A 17435-nucleotide genomic window follows, 5' to 3' on the forward strand; every position below is an offset into this window, starting at 1 on the left:
CAGTTAATTAAAAAATGGTTTTATAATAATTTTTTAATGAACTATTTTCCAACACTGAAGCCAGGTAATTTGTAGAAACAGGTCTGAATATTAAAACTGTGTAATTACTTTTACAAGTATTGACAATTGTAGTATATTTTTGCATTATGTATAGAGAGAAAGAGAAGCAGAAGGTGATAAAGAGAAAATGAGAGAATCGAGAAAAGAAGAGAATAAAAGATAAAATATAATATGTGAGAGAATGAGAAAATAAGCCAATATATCCTAAAACATTCATATGTGAACCACCCTGATAGATGTCCCCAAATGTACATATATACATTTAGATTTTAAATATATATATTTCCAGGAATAGAATGGAGTCCTAAAAAATAGAACAAATGTTAATTTTCATAGCCTGGCTAATCTTTGTTAAGAGCTTCTAATAATGCTGTTTTATGTACATTCTCTAATGAACAGGACTCTAAAGAGGAAGGACTGGCAATCTGAATAAATAAAGCTGACCCTTAACTTGGGTTATATGAGTGAGTTTTAAAAAGTTTTCAGGATCATATTGCAAAATAAGTTAAAATATTAGATGATCTAATAGATTCTCTATACTGAAGGAGAAATGAATTTTCTCAGTTTTCAGGAATTTCTTTTCAGAGCCATCTATAAAGTCAGGAAAAGGCAGAATAATGGCCGACCAAAGTTGCCCACACCCTAATCCCTGCAACCTGTAATTCTGTTATGTTACCTGGCAAGGGGGAATTGAGGTTGCAGATAAAATTAATCAGTTTACTTTAAAATACAGGGATTTTCCTGGATTATTAGGGTGGGCTCAATGTTATCACAAAGGTCCTTTATGTGTAGAAGAATGAGGCAGAACATCAGAGTGAAAGAGATGTGAGAAAGAAAGCAGAGGTTGGAGGGATGGGATTGCTGACTTTGAAGATGGAAGGAATCTGTGAGCCAAGAAATGCAGGCAGCCCCTAGATGCTGGAAAGGGCAAGAAAATGGAAAGGAGTGTTAAAATCTCCAATTCCCATTGAGAATTTTAGCACTTCCCCTTGTAGTTTTTAGTCTATTGTGTTTTTGCTTCTTGAAATTTGAAGCTCTGTTATTATACACATACAGAATTTTAATGATTATCTTTCTGATAAGTTATTCCTTTGGTCAGTATGTCCTTCTTTATCTATGATAATACTTTGTCTCGAAATCTGTTTTGTCTAATACTATTAGGTGGGTGCAAAAGTAATTGTGGTTTTTGCCATTAAAAGTCATGTTCTTATTTAGTAGTTTTGCCATTACTTACAATGGTAAAAACCATTTTGCACCAACCAAAAAAACTTTTGCAACAACCTAATAATATAGCCATGACAACTTTCTTATACTTAATGATTAAATGGTACATCTTTTTACATATTTTTACTTTCAATCTAGCTGTGCCTTTGGGTTTAAAGTGAATCTCTTGAAAAGAACCATTCAAACATCTTGCTTGTTTTATCAAGACATAATCTTGGAGTGTTTAGTTCATTTATGTTTAATGTTCTTATTGCTATAATTGGTTTTGAATGTACATTCTGATTATTTTTTCATATGTTTGCTTTCTACTTTTTTCTTCTGTATTTTTTCCTTTTTTTGTTCATTTTCTGACTCTTTTGTCTCAGTTGAATATTTTATTGTTTTATTTTAATATTTGTGATTTTTAAGCTATTAATTTTGTTAAATTGTAATGGTTTCTCTAGGGCTAATAATATTTTATCTTTAACATGTCCAAGTTTATTGGTTTTTCATCCTACACTTTTCACTTTCTTTTTTTTAATTTAATTTAATTTTATTATTATTATACTTTAAGTTTTAGGGTACATGTGCACAATGTGCAGGTTAGTTACGTATGTATACATGTGCCATGCTGGTGTGCTGCACCCATTAACTCATCATTTAGCATTAGGTATATGTCCTAAAGCTATCCCTCCCCTCTCCCCACACCCCACAACAGTCCCCAGAGTGTGAAACAAACAACCCCATTAAAAACTGGGTGAAGGACATGAACAGACACTTCTCAAAAGAAGACATTTATGCAGCCAAAAAACACATGAAAAAATGCTCACCATCACTGGCCATCAGAGAAATGCAATTCACTTTCTATTTTATACCTGACAGTTTTTTCTTCACATTTTCACACCTCATACATCATATTTTTATATCACATTTCCTACATTTAAAAAGCTTACAACAGTATATCATTTACCAATCCCATTGTTTGTACTATTTTTAAAATACCTTTTGTTTATTCAGGCTTCATAAACTTTTCTTTCAAAGCTATTATTTTTGCTTAAAAGTTTTTTTGCACTATAAACATGATTTTTCATTATCTTCTGATAAGGAGTTGACAGTTATTCTTTTCATTGCTGTCCTGTGGGTAGTATTTTTTTTCCTCTGGTTGCTTTTAAGATGATTACTTTACCTTTGTTTTTCAGTGATTATCCTCAGATATGCACTGTATGATTCTCTCTCTTTTCTTTTTAATTGCTGGGATTTTTATTGGGATTGCATTAAATCTATAGATCAAGTTGGAAAGAACGTAAACCTCGACAGTACTGAATCTTCCTATCCATGAACTTAAAATATCTCTACATTTATTTACTTATTCTTTGATTTGTTTCATCAGAGGTTGTAGTTTCCCTCACATAGGTCTTGTATGTATTTCATTGGATTTATACCTAAGTATTTCTTTTTTTTTTTAATACCTTCAGTTCTAGGGTACATGTGCACAATGTGCAGGTTTGTTACATAGGTATATGTGTGCCATGTTGGTTTGCTGCACCCATCAACTTGTCATTTACATTAGGTATTTCTCCTAATGCTATCCCTTCACCAACCCCTACTCCCTGACAGGCCCCTGTGTGTGATGCTCCCCGCCCTGTGTCCAAGTGTTCTCATTGTTCAATTCCCACCTATGAATGAGAACATGCGGTGTTTGCTTTTCTGTCCTTGTGATAGTTTGCTCAGAATGATGGTTTCCAGCTTCATCCATGTCCCTGCAAAGGATATGAACTCATCCTTTTTTATGGCTGCATAGTATTCCATGGTGTATGTGTGCCACATTTTCTTAAACCAGTCTATCATTGATGGACATTTGGGATGGTTCCAAGTCTTTGCTATTGTGAATAGTGCTGCAATAAACATATGTGTGCATGTGTCTTTATAGTAGCATGATTTATAATCCTTTGGGTATATACCCAGTAATGGGATGGCTGAGTCAAATGGTATTTCCAGTTCTAGATCCTTGAGGAATCGTCACACTGTTTTCCACAATGGTTGAACTAATTTACACTCCCACCAACAGTGTAAAAGCATTCCTATTTCTCCACATTCTCTCCAGCATCTGTTGTTTCCTGACTTTTTAATGATCACCATTCTAACTGGCGTGAGATGGTATCTCATTGTGGTTTTGATTTGCATTTCTCTGATGACCAGTGATGATGAGCATTTTTTCATGTTGACTGCATGAATGTCTTCTTTTAAGAAGTGTCTGTTCATATCCTTTGCCCACTTTTTGATGGGGCTCTTTGTTTTTTTTCTTGTAGATTTGTTTAAGTTCTTTGTAGATTCTGGATATTAGCCCTTTGTCAGATGGGTACATTGCAAAAATTTTCTCCCATTCTTAGGTTGTCTGTTCATTCTGATGGTAGTTTCTTTTGCTGTGCAGAAGCTCTTTAATTTAATTGGATCCCATTTGTCTATTTTGACTTTTGTTGCCATAGCTTTTGGTGTTTTAGTCATAAAGTCCTTGCCCATGCCTATGGTCTGAATGATATTGCCTAGGTTTTCTTCAAGAGTTTTTATGGTTTTAGGTCTAATATGTAAGCCTTTAATCCATCTTGAATTAATTTTTGTGTAAGGTGTAAGGAAGGGATCCAGTTTCAGCTTTCTACATATGGCTAGCCAGTTTTCCCAGCACCATTTATTAACTAGGGAATCCTTTCCCCATTGCTTGTTTTTGTCTGGTTTGTCAAAGATCAGATGGTTGTAGATGGGTGGTGTTATTTCTGAGGCCTCTGTTCTGTTCCAATGGTCTATATCTCTGTTGGGGTACGGGTACCATGCTGTTTTGGTTACTGTAGCCTTGTAGCATAGTTTGAAGTCAGGTAGCATGATTCTTCCAGCTTTGTTCTTTTTGCTTAGGATTGTCTTGGCAAGTCAGGCTCTTTTTTGGTTCTATATGAACTTTAAAGTGTTTTTTTCCAATTCTGTGAAGAAAGTCATTGGTAGCTTGATGTGGTTGGCATTGAATCTATAAATTACCTTGGGCAGTATGGCCATTTTCACAATATTGATTCTTCCTATCCATGAGCATAGAATATTCTTCCATTTGTTTGTGTCCTCTTATTTTGTTAAGCAGTGGTTTGTATTTCTCCTTGAAGAGGTCCTTCACATCCCTTGTCAGTTGTATTCCTAGGTATTTTATTCTCTTTGTAGCAATTGTGAATGGGAGTTCACTCATGATTTGGCTCTCTGTTTATTACTGGTGTATAGGAATGCTTGTGATTTTTATACATTGATTTTGTATCCTGAGACTTTGCTGAAATTGCTTATCAGCTTCAGGAGGTTTTGGGCTGAGACGATGGGGTTTTCTAAATATACAATCATGTCATCTGCAAACAGGGACAATTTGACTTCCTCTTTTCCTAATTGAATACCCTTTATTTCTTTCTCTTGCCTGATTGCCCCAACCGGAACTTCCAACACTATGCTGAATAGGAGTGGTGAGAGAGGGCATCCTTTTCTTGTGCTGGTTTTCAAAGGGAAGGCTTCTGGTTTTTGCCCATTCAGTATGATATTGGCTGTGGGTTTGTGATAAATAGCTCTTATTATTGTGAGATACGTTCCATCAATACCTAGTTTATTGAGCGTTTTTAGCATGAAGGGCTGTTGAATTTTGTCAAATGCCTTTTCTGCATCTATTGAGATAATCATGTGGTCTTTGTTGTTGGATCTATTTATGCGATGGATTACGTTTATTGATTTGCTTATGTTGAACCAGCCTTGCATCCCAGGGATGAAGCCAGCTTGATCATGCTGGATAAGCTTTTTGATGTGCTGCTGGATTTGGTTTGCCAGTAATTTGTTGAAGATTTTTGCATCATTGCTCATCAGGGATATTGGTCTAAAATTCTCTGTTTCTGTTGTGTCTCTGCCAGGCTTTGGTATCAGGATGATGCTGGCCTCATAAAATGAGTTAGGGAGAATTCCCTCTTTTTCTATTGATTGGAATAGTTTCAGAAGGAATGGTACCAGCTCCTCTTTGTACCACTGGTAGAATTCGGCTGTGAATCTGTCTGGTCCTGGACTTTATTTGTTTGGTAAGCTATTAATTATTGCCTCAATTTCAGAGTCTGTTATTGGTCTATTCAGAGATTCAAATTCTTCCTGGTTTAGTCTTGGGAGAGTGCATGTGTCCAGAAATTTATCCATTTCTTCTATATTTTCTAGTTTATTTGCATAGAGGTGTTTATAGTATTCTCTGATGGTAGTTTGTATTTCTGTGGGATTGGTGGTGATATCCCCTTTATCATATTTTATTGCATCTATTTGATTCTTCTCTCTTTTCTTCTTTATTAGTCTAGCTAGTGGTCTATCAATTTTGTTGATTTTTTTAAAAAACCAGCTCCTGGATCCATTGATTTTTTGAAGGGTTTTTTTGTGTCTCTATCTCCTTGAGTTCTGCTCTGATCTTAGTTATTCCTTGCCTTCTGCTAGCTTTTAAATTTGTTTGCTCTTGCTTCTCTAGTTCTTTCCATTGTGATATTAGGGTGTTGATTTTTTATCTTTCCTGCTTTCTCTTGTGGGCATTTAGTGGTATAAATTTCCCGCTACATACTGCTTTAAATGTGTCTCAGAGATTCTGGTACTTTGTGTCTTTTTTCTCATTGGTTTCAAAGAACATCTTTATTTCTGCTTTCATTTCGTTATTTACCCAGTAGTCATTCAGGAGCAGATTGTTCAGTTTGCATGTACTTGTGCAGTGTTGAGTGAGTTTATTCATCCTGAGTTCTAATTTGATTGCACTGTGGTCTGAGAGATAGTTTGTTGTGATTTCTGTTCTTTTACATTTGCTAGGAAGTGTTTTACTTCCAATTACATGGTCAATTTTGGAATCAGTGTGATGTGGTGCTGAGAAGAATGTATATTCTGTTGATTTGGGGTGGAGAGTTCTGTAGCTGTCTATCAGGTCTGCTTGGTGCAAAGCTGAGTTCAAGTCCTGAATATCTTTGTTAATCTTCTGTCTCATTGATCTATCTAATATTGACAGTGGCATGTTAAAGTCTCCCATTATTATTGTGTGGGAGTCAAAGTCTCTTTGTAGGTCTCTAAAGACTTGCTTTGTGAATTTCAGTGCCCCTGTATTGGGTGCATACATATTTAGCATAGTTAGCTCTTCTTATTGAGTTAATACCTTTACCATTATGTAATGGCCTTGTTTGTCTCTTTGATCTTTATTGGTTTAAAATCTGTTTTATCAGAGACTCCGATTGCAACCCCTGCTTTTTTTGCTTTCCATTTGCTTGGTAGATCTTCCTCCATCCCTTTATTTTGAGCCAATGTGTGTCTCTGCATGTGAAATGCGCCTCCTGAATACAGCACACTGATGGGTCTTGACTCTTTATCCAATTTGCCAGTCTGTACCTTTTAATTGGGGCATTTAGCCCATTTACATTTAAGGTTAATATTGTTATGTGTGAATTTGATCCTGTTATTATGATGTTAGCTAGTTATTGTGCCTGTTAATTGATACAGTTTCTTCCTAGCATCTATGGGCTTTACAATTTGGCATGTTTTTGCCATGGCTGGAACCAGTTGTTCCTTTCCATGTTTAGTGCTTCCTTCAAGAGCTCTTGTAAGGCAGGTCTGGTGGTAACAAAATCTGTCAGCATTTGCTTGTCTGTAAAGGATTTTATTTCTCCTTCATTTATGAAGCTTAGTTTGGCTGGATATGAAATTCTGGGTTGACAATTCTTTTCTTTAAGAATTTTGAATATTGGCCCCCACTCTTTTCTGGCTTGTAGAGTTTCTGCTGAGAGATCCGCTGTTAGTGTGATGGTTTTCCATTTGTGGGTAACCCGACCTTTCTCTCTGGCTGCCCTTAACACTTTTTCCTTTATTTCAACCTTGGTGGATCTGATCTGACAATTATGTTGCTTGGAGTTGCACTTCTTGAGGAGTATCTTTGCAGTGTTTTCTGTATTTCCCGAATTTGAATGTTGGCCTGCCTTGCTGGTTTGGGGAAGTTCTCCTGGATAATATCCTTAAGAGTGTTTTCTAACTTGGTTCCATTCTCCCCGTCACTTTCAGGTACAGCAATCAAATGTAGATTTGGTCTTTTCACATAGCCCCATATTTCTTGGAGGCTTTGTTTGTTTCTGTTTACTCTTTTTTCTCTTAATTTGTCTTTTCACTCTATTTCATTAATTTGATCTTCAATCGCTGATATCCTTTCTTCCATTTGATCGAATCAGCCACTGAAGCTTGTAGATGCGTCACAAAGTTCTCTTGCCATGGTTTTCAGCTCCATCAGGTCATTTATGGTCTTCTTTACACTGTTTATTCTAGTTAGCCATTCATCTAACCTTTTTTCAAGGTTTTGAGCTTCCTTGTGATGGGTTAGAACATGCTCCTTTAGTTTGGTGAAGTTTGTTATTACTGACCTTCTGAAGCCTACTTCTGTCAGTTCGTCAAAGTCATTCTCCATCCAACTTTTTTCCGTTGCTGGCGAGGAGCTGCAATCCTTTGGAGGAGAAGAGGTGCTCTGGTTTTTAGAATTTTCAGCTTTTCTGCTCTGGTTTCTCCCCATCTTTGTGGTTTTGTCTACCTTTGATCTTTGATGTTGGTGACCTACATATGGTGTTTTGGTGTGGATGTCCTTTTTGTTGATGTTGATGCTATTCCCTTCTTTTTGGTTAGTTTTCTTTCTAACAGTCAGGTCCCTCAGTTGCAGGTCTGTCGGAGTTTGCTAAAGGTCCACTCCAGACCCTGTTTGCCTGGGTGTCACCAGTGGAGGCTGCAGAACAGCAAATATTGCAGAACAGCAAATATTGCTGCCTGATCCTTCCTCTGGAAGCTTTGTCCCAGAGGGGCACCTGCCTGTATGAGATGTCTGTCAGCCCCTACTGTGAGATGTCTCCCAGTTAGGCTACACGGGGTCAGGGACCCACTTGAGGAGGCAGTCTGTCCATTCTCAGAGCTCACATGCCATGCTGGGAGAACTACTACTGTCTTCAGGGCTGTTCAGACAGGACATTTAAGTCTGCAGAAGTTTCTGCTGCCTTTTGTTCAGCTACACCCTGCCCACTGAGGTGACATCTGTAGAGGCAGTAGGCCTTGCTGAGCTGTGGTGGGCTCTGCCCAGTTTAATGGCTTCCCAGACACTTTGTTTACCTACTCAAGCCTCAGCAATGGGGGACACCCCTCCTCCCGCTCAGCTGCAGCCTCGCAGTTCAATCTCAGACTGCTGCGCTAGCAGTGAGCAAGGCTCCATGGGCATGGGACCTGCCGAGCCAGGCAGGGGAGAGAATCTCCTGGTCTGCTGGTTGCTGAGACTGAGGGAAAAGTCCTTTTTTTTCCAGGTACATTCTGTCACGGCTTTCTTTGGCTAGGAAAGGGAAATTCCCCGACCCCTTGCACCTCCTGACTGAGGTGATGCCCCGCCCTGCTTTGGCTCGCCCTCCATGGGCAGCACCCACTGTCCAACCAGTCCCAATGAGATGAACCAGGTACCGCAGTTGGAAGTGCAGAAATAACCTGTCTTCTGCGTCAATCACACTGGGAGCTGCAGACCAGAGCTGTTCCCATTCGGCCATCTTGAATGAAGATCATATGATTCTCTTTATATCTGTCTTGATAAGGGTTCATTGAGCTTCTCATAAGTCAATGGTTTTTTAAAAATCAAATTTATGTAATGTCCAACCATTATTTCTAGATGACTTTCCTGCCCTGTTCTCACTTTCTTCTCTTTAAAACTTTAGTTACACATATTCCCAATGTTTTGTTAGACCACTTGATATTATCCCATGTGTGCCTGCTCAGTTTCTTCAACCTTTGTTGTCTCTGTTCTTCAGTTGGGATAGTTCTTATTCATTAATCTCAAGTTCATTGCTCTTCTGATATATCCAATTTCATTAGATTATTTTAGCATTTTTCATTTCAGAACTTCCATTTGATTTTAATTTATAGTTCCTATTTTGCTGCTGATGTTCCCTATCTATTCACTTGACTATATTTGCTTTTAATTCTTCCAACATATTATCTTTTAAAGTTTTCATTTTATTAATAAAAGCTGCTTTAAATCTTTGTCTACTACATACTGTGTTTGCAGCATCTCAGAGTTGGTTTCTGTTGACTGATTTTTATCTGAACTATGAGTGACATTTTTTTGTTTGTTTATTTACAAGTGCAGTAATTTTGCTTACTATACAATAGACATTGTTAAAGATATATTACAAAGATTCTGTGTTCTGTTATTTTACTGTAAAACTTTGACTTTTCTTTCTATTGGTGCTTCAGTTACTGGTTAATCATCTTGAACCTGTGTGAGCTAGATTTGTCTTTTCTTAGGGTGGTTGTGTGAAGGGCACAAAATGGTTCCCAAGCACCTCTAACTGGGGGGACTCATTCTCCAAACCCAATCTCCTATAGCTTTTATAAGGACTTGGATTTTAGACTTTATAAGAGTGAGTCTACAAAAAGCCTTTCTTTATTAGTGTATTAAGGTATAGTCTTCCAAGGTCTAGTCTTTCCAGAGTCTTAGCTGGATACTTGGGTGTAAAAAAGCTCATAATGAGGTCTTTCCACTATAGATGGATGGGAGTGTCAATGTCTTTTAGCACTACTTAACTTGTAGTCTCTCTTTTTTTATTCTCAATACCTTATTAGCCACTTTTAGGCAAGTCTCATATATCCTTTTACTTTTAAGAAGCAGAATTACTGAGATATAATTTAAATACAAAACATTCACTCTTTTAAAGTATGAAATTCAATGGGTTTTGGTGTATTTGCAGATTTGGGAATCATTACTATGTCTAATTTTAGAACATTTTCATTATGCCCAAAAGAAACCCCGTAGTTCCCCCTTTTGGCATGACAGTGTGAGGAGCTTCATGGACTTATTCTATAGTGAAATGGGTGAAAATTATCTTAAAAGGAATCATTTCAAGTCTCTGGAAGTGGTTCTAGGGGCATATAGCAAATGAAGCATTTACTCAAGAAAATCTACCACACTTGGTAAGAAAAGTAAATCTGCAATATTTGAACCAAGATCCACTCATTCCCTTCTTGCCTCCCAGCTCAGCGAGACAGATATAACTGAGAGAACAGGACTCTGTTTACCCCCATCTCTCAATGGAGGGCTATCTTCCCAAGATGGGCAGGATGACAGCCTTTCTTCTCCTGCCCTCACCTACTTTTGGTGAGGCTAAGTTCCTGGTGAGTGTGGCTCACCAGTGCTCTTTTCTGTCTAACCCTAGCTCATAAGATGTAGGTTCAACCTTGGGCATGACACTGCTGAGATTATTTAAATCCTGATTGCTCTTGCTTTGGCAGGAGTCCTAGGTCAGGAGAGGTAAGCCAGGGGGACCTGGGGCTGATGGCTTCCCCCTCCACTGAGTACTCAGCTCTAAAGTGTGGGGGTCTCTTAGAGAGAAGCATGACATTGTGCCTACCAGCAGACAACACCAGACCAACGTCTTGAAGATTTTACCTGGGAGGAGAAGCATACTCTAGCATAGAGAGCTCTGAATCTCTTCCCAAAGAAACTGATTTCATTTACAACAAAAAAGCAGTGAAGGTTGTGGTGAAAGGCAACTAGGGAGGGAGGTTGATAGATTCATTGGAGATGTAGTCTAAGCCATAGTGTGGCTAGATTGCTGGAAAGGAATAGGGATAGACACAGCTGTGAGGAGCCCTCCTGGGGTCAGAACAAATCTCAAACACTGGCCTCAGGAGCTATCACTACCAAGGAGGCCAAATTTGATGATATCAGTGTTTGAAGCAATTTATGTCACAGGACATTCATGAAAACAATAGAACAATCAACACACAATTCATGGAGATTTATAGCTGACACTTCACTTCCTTTTTTTTTTTTTAATTTTACTTTAATGTCTGGGATACATGTGCAGAACATGCAGGTTTGTTATATAGGTAAATGTGTGCCATGGTGGTTTGCTGCACCTATCAACCCGCCTTCTAGGTATTAAGCCCTGCATGCTTTAGCCATTGGTCCTGATGCTCTCCCTCCCCTCACCCTCCCTGGCAGGCCCCGGTGTGTGTTGTTCCCCTCCCTGTGTCCATGTATCCTCATTGTTCAGCTCCCACTTATGAGTGAGAACATGCAGTGTTTGGTTTTCTGTTCCTATGTTAGTTTGCTGAGGATGATGGCTTCCAGCATCATACATGTCCCTGCGAAGGATATGATCTCATTCCTTTTTATGGCTGCATAGTATCCCATGGTGTAAATGTACCATCTTTTCTTTATGCAGTCTGTCACTGATGGGTATTTGGGTTGGTTCCATGTCTTTTCTATTGTGAATAGTGCTGCAGTAAATATACGTGTGCATATATCTTTATAATAGAATGATTTATATTCCTTTGGGTATATACCCAGTAATGCGATTGCTGGGTCAAACAGTATTTCTGGTTCTAGATCTTTGAGGAATTGTCACACTGTCTTCAATAGTGGTTGAAATAATTTACATTTCCACCAACAGTGTAAAAGTGTTCCTATTTCTCCACAGCCTTGCCAGCATCTGTTGTTTCTTGAATTTTTAATGATTGCCATCCGACTGGCATGTGATGGTATCTCATTGTGATTTTGATTTGCATTTCTCTAATGATCAGACACTTTACACTTTCTATTTCACTATTACATTTTTAGAACAAATTAAGAAAACTAAATTCTAGAAGATTGGGGTACTCCTCATGACCTCAAATTTGGCAATGGATTTTTAGATACGATACCAAAAGAATGAATATCAAATAAAATAGAAAAATGGCCTTTATCAAAATTAAAACTTTATGCTTCATAGGATACTATCAAGAAAGTGAAATGACAACCCACGGATTGAGAGAAAATATTTGCAAGTCATATATGATAAGCGCCTCATATCCAGAAGAGAGAACTCTTATAACCCAACAATAAAAAAGACAAATAATCCAAATTTTTAAATGGGCAAAGGATCTGAATAGATATTTCTCTAGGGAAGATACACAAATCCAATAGGCACATGGAGGAGTCTGACCTCATTAGAGGTAAAGAAATGCAAAGCAAAACCAAAATGAAATATCGCTTTACACCTATTAGAATGACTACAGTCTCAAAGTCATAAATTAAATCCTCCATAGTCTTCTGAGCACATTTCCTACTCCCATGCAGACTTCTCCTCTAATACTCTGCCCTGCAAATTCCACTGGTTTTGCTGCCGTAGACTCCTCTGCCTCCTCGGCTCAGTGGGACCATTGTGCTATGCTTGGATTCCAGCTTGGTACACTGAGGTCAGGACATTTTTGACACATAGAGAGCCAGGGCAACTTCGGGGCTCACTTTATGAAGTTCCTTACTCACAGAAATCTCAAACTTATATCACCTGCTGTCCAACACATGAAAACAGGGACCTCCTTAACGGTTTCTTATGGAAGAAACTCTAGTATGGCACATACCTAAAAGAGAAAATACTCTACATGCCCACAATTTTAAAATACCTAAAATATATATAAACTTTGCCTATAAAAATGAATAATAATAATGAAGCAATTATCTAAGAGTAAATTTAACTAGCATATTTTATTCTGAAATTTAAAAATAACTGGATGTCACTTTTTAAATATTTCCACTTCTCTAAACTTCATGGTAATTTTTTCTTTCTTTCCTTCCTTCCTATTTTTCCTGTTTCTTTCTTCTTTTTTTTTTTTTTATTGCCTGCCCTGGAAGTCAATTACAATGCTTAGATTAAAAATTAGTATTAGTACTGGAAAGACTAAGTGTTTGAAAATGCCAGGTTAATTATTCTCTAATTTTGTGGAAGTGAACAAAATATTGAATTGTTTGAAGTTATTGACTTTACTATAGCCTTTAAAACCCCATTATTTCTTGCTTTGTTTGGACAGTAGATTTTATTCATCTTGCTTCTGAACATCAGATATAAACCATTATGTGAATAGCATCATTAATTTATCATTTAAATTATTTTGTTTTTATCTATTCCAGTTAACATTTCACTATTTTAATAGTCTTAGGTTATCTAGTGCTTTTAATCAATGCAATTAGTGCTTATTTGGGGTTTAAGCTGCATATTATTTTTGTGTATCCTTTTCTTTTTCTGGATTGACATTTACCTTCTAGGATTATGCACATGCAAAACGAGATTTGGTAGTCTGCACAGAGATATGTCCGAACTGATTAGGTTAGGCCCATACAATCTTTTAGAGAAAAACAAGATCTTTAGGATAGCCTAATTAGCACTTGCAATATTAATAGGGAATTTTTAAAAATTAACGCATACAATACAGATGCTGCTAGACTTAAAATGGGGCTGCATGCCCATAAACCCATTACAAGTTGAAAATGTCATAAGTTGAAAATGCATTTAATACTGTGATAAGCCCATCCTAAAGTTGAAAAGTCATTAAGTTGAACCACTGCAGTTAGGAACCACTTGTACTATCAAGTTCTTTGCTCTTTCTTGATATCTGAGAGTTTAATTTGTGCCATTAAGTCATTCTTTTTATTGAATTGATTGGATAGCTGTCAAATTGCTACCTCATTCAGTGAAACAATCATCTGAAATATAGATGCTTTTCAACTTACAATGGGGCTACACCCCAATAACCCCATCAAAAATTGAAAACATTGTAAGTCAAAAGTGTGCTTTGGACTTAATGATATAATCAATTTATGATGAGTTTAATCCAGCCACAACCCTGTCTTACACTGAAGAGCATGCTGAGTATGTATAGCTTTCACACCATCACAGTCAAAAAATTGTAAGTCAAACCATTATATAATAAGTCAGGGACCGTCTGTATTCAAATGTGTGAATGAGATAGAAAGAAAGGGATCTGGTGAACTTACAGTCTGATAATAAAGAATATGTTATGAATAATGTGTTGCTATGCTTATACCACATGACTAGGATTAGGGAGAGTTATGTTTAAAAAGAGTGAGGCTTGTTATTTTACTTCTTCCTCTGACTTATATCAGTCAACATTTGTAGAATCCAAAGATTTAACAAACTCTTTGTGTGATGCCATACCTGTACTCTGATTTGGCTGAACATAAAAAGAGCTAGTAAAGGAAAGTTGTTTTCTAGTAACAGAAAAATTGTTTTTATTCTTATTCTATTTCTAATCCAGTTACTTCCTTTAAAAAGTGGAACCTCTGTTGATTCCCTGGTAGTAAGTACACATGAGTTTCACTTCAAATGTGAAAATTTTAAACAAGAAGTTAATGCATAATCAATGATGATAAATAACTTTACAAACTTCTTTTTTATTCAAGGTATTGTCATTTGAGTTCTATATGATGATGCACTCAGAGAAATGAATCCAATTAAATATAAAAGGCAATAGTGCAGTAAAAATACCGGGTATTTCTGGTATTCTATGTATTATTTACTTTTGGTGATCTTACTTCAGAGATTTGGGATTCTATTTCATTTCCTCAGAAAATTTGGTATAAACTCATCGCTCTCAACATACTCTGTCTTTTGGAAATATGAATGGATATAGATGAGAGCTAATACCACTAACAGTTCTCATACACATCAATATTCCTTGACAATCGAGAAATCACTTTCTTATATTTTTAATTTTATTTGCTTTGCACAGAAATCCTCTGTGTTGGTAGTCAGAACATTGTAAATTCATTTTATAAGGAAACTAAAGCTCAGAGAGTACCAATGGTAACTTGAAATTATTTGGAATTAGAACGCAGTACCTCACTCCAAGACCACAGCATTTCCTACCAGTTGGACTAGTCCAGATCATCACCAGTGGTAGAATAGGTAGATATCATTCTCCTGGTGGAGTAAGCAATCTCTTTGAAAAAACAGTGAAAAGAGCATCAACGTTGGTCTTAGACAAAGATTTGTATGCAAGCTCCACCAATAAGCTTAATTATATGCCAGGTCTGTCCCACAGACCCTGGCTGAGCAATGGATGAAAGGAATAGTCAGACACAGGTATGCAGTGTAAAAGCAGCTAGGAGATTGGCTGGCATTAGTGGCTGAAGAATGAGCCGTCCTGAACAGCTGGACCAGCTGTAATCAAATGTGTGAACAGCTGGAGCTGCTTGCTTTTATTCAATACAGACATAATGCTGAAAGCCTGGAGCAAACACAATCTGTGGGTAATTAGCATTATTTTTCCCCCTTTTGGGGAGCAGTCACGCAGTGTGGGCTAATGGGCCCTGTTCCCAAAGATTAACAGGGATGGGCATGGTTAGAGGTTGTATATTAACAGACGGACCCCTCCCCTGGAGCATTGCAGCCTTTATGTTTTGCCAGCCAATTGATTCTGGTTGGCTTGTTGTTTGCAAAACTTATCATATTCTGCCCTCCAGATGAGGTATTGACTGGCCTCCAAAGTTGTTTTAGCTAGCACTGACCAGTCCCATGGGGTTATATGGAAGTTATCTGCTATGGCCTCAATTAATCCTTTCATAAATGGGCTAGCAGCTCCATTTTCTCTAATGCTTTTCCTTTTCTCTTTAAAAGTGTCGAAAGTAATGGGTTCATATACCCAATTGCCTTGTTCGTCTTGCATCACTGGGCAGGCCAAGAGCTACCCTTCTAATGCCGCTTGCCTAAGACAGGGTCCCATAACTGTTGTGTATCCCTTGTCTTTTTTCCAGTTTACTGGGGGAGGGGGGTCAGGAAAAACCTCTGTTTCCTTGTTTGTATCTTTACCTGGTAACAGCGGGGCTGAGGGAGGAGGAGGAGGAGGAGGCAGTAAGGTAGGTGATGGTTCCTTCTCCCTTCCCTGTTTAGGCTCTTCTGAGTCGAGTGGGGCCAAAGCAGCCCTAAGGCCCATAATGTTAAAGATGTTACTGGTACCCATTGCCCTTGTGCATGATATTGTTTAAGATTTCTGCCCACTTGTTCCCAGAGCTCTAGGTCTAGCATGCCTTCTTCCAGGAATCATGGGTTATGGGAAACAACAGTTTGCATTAGGTCCCTTAATTGAGCCTGGGAAACCCAGGCTTCACTAGCTTTAAGCAGCTGTTTCAATACTTTTATATTTGCTGTTGAGCTGATAACTGTTGTCCCATGATGAAACCCTAGCTTGAAAATTCCCTCAAACTTGGAAATCCCAAGCAGGCACCCATTACTTATTGACTGGGCAGTCACTTTACCTTTGTTCTCAAGGGTTCTGTCGCAATCTGTTGCTGAGTTCCTCATAGGGGACACCAGCTGCTGGGTTCATGCTGCAGACCCTGGCTGAGTGACTGATGAAAAGAGTACTCAGACACAGGTATGCAGTGTAAGAGAAGCTAGGGGACTGTCCAGCACTAGTGGCTGAAGAATGAGCAGTCCCAAACAGCTGGGGCTGCTTGCTTTTATTCAATAGAGACATAATGCTGAAAGCCTGGAGTAAACACAATCTGCGGGTAATTAGCATCATTCCACCTTTCAGGGAGCAGTCAGGCAGCATGGATGATCAAAGGTCAGCTCCTGGTCAACATAAGTAAACAAACCTGTTTAAGATAAATTCCCCTACCCTTCCTTGAACCCACTCCTTGCCCTCTGCCTCAGGGTTGGAGAACAGCTGCCTTCAGCTTATTCTCCCTCAAAGCTGTGCAGAGTCTTGTAACCTTTCAGAAGGTCTGCTCTTTCCCTATAGTTTCTCTCACCACTCTCACCAGTCTCCTACATCTCCCCCTTTTCTGTTTTTTGCATCAGGTTTTGTTGATTGAAGAGTAAAGATGTGTGCAGAGACAGGTTTGACAGGTGCAGTGGTTACAGCTCGTGTTCCAGCTTGGCATCCTAGAATTAGTAAATAACATAAGACAAACATGAGTATGATCAGTAATATTATTTTCCAATCAAGGAGTAATATGTAGTGTTACTTGGCACCTCAGTCCAATGTGTGCCATTCCTGAAGGACCCCCACTGGGGATATGTCGATCCTTCCTAGCCAATCAGTCACATTGTTAGAGGCTAGGAAGGGGGTGCCTGCCCAAGTAACAGGGTGGAAGAAAGGGGGATCTAGAAGATGGGCCCAATAGAGGGTAGCAGGTGTGAGTTGCAGGCAAAGTGAGAGAATAAGAAAGGTTAATACCCTATGAAAGTTGCAATGTACAACAGAAAGCATAGAAAGGAACAAATTATCTGGAGTGAATGGTGTCTGTGTCCAGAGTAGGATTCACTCAGCCTCCTGAGTTGTCTTCTTCAGCACCGTGT

The 17435-nt window shown here is 38.2% G+C and overlaps 1 protein-coding gene across 2 annotated transcripts in view; it reads right to left on the bottom strand.

The window, feature by feature from the left end:
- Nucleotides 1-16566, bottom strand: part of GC (GC vitamin D binding protein) — a 63828-nt gene extending 47262 nt beyond the window's left edge. The window contains exon 1 of one of the 2 annotated variants that reach the window (NM_001204306.1): nt 16388-16566. Coding sequence is in view for 1 of the 2 variants with exons in the window: in NM_001204307.1 (NP_001191236.1) it covers nt 14972-14992 (21 nt within the window). In the remaining variant the exon portion in view is untranslated. Of the gene's footprint in view, nt 1-14971; nt 15088-16387 lie in introns of those variants that run through there. The other variant, NM_001204307.1, reaches the window with a different exon arrangement.

This window comes from Homo sapiens, chromosome 4 (assembly GCF_000001405.40).
Source record: "Homo sapiens chromosome 4, GRCh38.p14 Primary Assembly".
In the NCBI taxonomy this organism is placed as follows: Eukaryota; Metazoa; Chordata; class Mammalia; order Primates; family Hominidae; genus Homo; species Homo sapiens.